At 38.3% G+C, this 2,128-nt stretch overlaps 1 annotated feature.

Moving 5' to 3' along the window:
- Positions 759–959: a silencer, noted in NCBI's record as "peak1425 fragment used in MPRA reporter construct". NCBI's record gives its function as "represses an SCP1 promoter by STARR-seq MPRAs in K562 erythroleukemia cells {active_cell/tissue: K562}" and the evidence as "EXISTENCE:reporter gene assay evidence [ECO:0000049][PMID:32103011]".

The raw sequence follows: 2,128 nt of genomic DNA, 5'->3' as shown, positions 1-2,128 counted from the left end.
TAATATGGTGGTAGGCCATGGCCTGATCATCCTCTCAGAAGATTTCCTATTGCTTCTAAACCCTTATGTTATGATTTATTAGACACTTGGGTACTGTGAACATTTCAATATCCAGGACCTGGTTTATTTTTCCAGTGATATGAAGAAAAAATGATTTTTTAAAAAATGTAACACACTAACAACATGATCTCTTGGTTGGTAAGAGAGAAAGTATCCTGTGAAGAGATACGGGTGCTCTCCTGATTTCTGTCCCACATGATTATGAACATTGATCAGGAGCACAGTTATGAGAGGAATGTAGGCCTCTGGGGAAGCCTGTATGCTCTATGATCTATATTTTCCCTTTGCTCTAAATTGTTGAAATATTTCTTTTGCCCAAGATAAACACACACCTGCTCACTTTAATGAAAAGAGGTTTATTTTACTTCTGCTGAATTAATAACTTTCAAGTCTACTAGGAATCCCCAAATTGACAAAATAATACAGCCTATATGAATTAGCTACATGGTTTAAGGAATAAAAATTAGAATCTAGGAAAGTAGAATGGTAAGGATAAGCCATACACACCCTCCCCTTTTACTAGGATGTGTGGTATGGCAGATGTATTTTCCAAGATGATCTCAACAAGATCTCCCATGCCAAATGCTCTACGTAAAACATGGTGTTAAAGTGGGATCTGTGTTTCCTACTTGTGAATTTCAGGGGGTCTGTGATTAAGTAAGACATGGTGTTGTCTGATTTCTGAGGTTAAGTGATAAAGGTGATATAACCTTCTCTGATCCTTTTGAGATGCTTGCTCTTGAACCTTATCAATGTGCTATGAAGAAGGAGAGAGAACACAAAGTGAGGTCACCTATAGGTTAGAAACTGGAGGACAGCCAGAATCAACTTCCAAATGCACTAGCACACAAGCCATCAGTTGTGTGATGCCCAAGATAGCAGCCGCTAGGCACATATGACTATTTAAATTTAAATTGAATTGAAAATAAAGTAATGTGTTGCTAGTCACATGTCCAATAGCCTTATGTAGCTAGGGCTACTAAATTGGGCCATGTAGATATAGAATATTTCTGTCATCATAGAAAGTTTCACTGGAAAGCACTGCTTCAGATGGTTCTAGTCCCAGCCATGGAGTCCCTTCACACCTTCAATACTCCCAGCTGAGTCGCAGATATCATGGGATGAGAAAAGTTACCTCTAATGTGCCCTTTCCAACTCCTAACCTATAGAATCTATGAGTATAATAAATAGCTGTTTTAGAGGCATTAATTCTGGGGTGGTTTTATGTAGTATTAGGTAACTCAAACAGATTTTGAAAACTGGAACTGGGATGCTGCCATAACAAAAACCTAAAACATGAGACACTGAGTTTGACATCAAGTTACACATGGAAACTGAAAGGGCATTTGGGAGACTTTTAATAAAAACTTAAAGGTTTCTCAGAGGCTTAAAGAACCTCAAGCAGGTTGTGATTAAGTGGTCAAAGAAACTAGGGGAATATTGTTGCAAACTAGAGTAAAAGGGACACTTTTAATGTAGTGGCAGAAAGTTTGGTAATAGTGTCACCTCCAGTAATGTGGAAAGTAGGAACAAGAATTAATGAACCTGATGATCTAGTGGAGATTTCCAGTTAGAATATTAAAAGTGCCATCTTGCTGCTTCTAGTCTTCCAGGTGCCTATGATAAAATCCTATAGGATAGATATAAGCTTAAAACAGAATGGTTAAGTATAAAGGAGCCAAAGTTTGCTGAGTTTGAAAATAAAACTCATTGTTATTCCCAGCCTCTACAGCCAGCAGGAAATTCTCAAAATAAGAAAAGATCTCAGAGCAGAGATCAAGCCTATGCGCTTTTAGGAAAACACGATCTAAAGATGAAGCCAAGGGCATGACTGTGAAACTCTTTGTTAAGGCTTCAGAAAGATCGAAGGCTGTGCCTCATAGACCTTACACATAAAAGGTCCTCTAAAAAGCTTAGGAGCATGCCTCACAGATATTCTCCTTAAACAATAGGGCTTCTTAGACTCTTAAGGGTTTTCAGCTACAGCTTCACAGCGAGTGTGGTGTTGAGGAAGTCCTGTCTTGCAGAGATCTATGGTTGTTATCTTTTTTCCTAATGCAGTAAAGAT

Source organism: Homo sapiens, chromosome 11, assembly GCF_000001405.40.
Source record: "Homo sapiens chromosome 11, GRCh38.p14 Primary Assembly".
Classification (NCBI taxonomy): Eukaryota; Metazoa; Chordata; class Mammalia; order Primates; family Hominidae; genus Homo; species Homo sapiens.
Note: the sequence above shows the minus strand (reverse complement) of the source record. Positions and strands in the feature narration are given on the sequence as shown.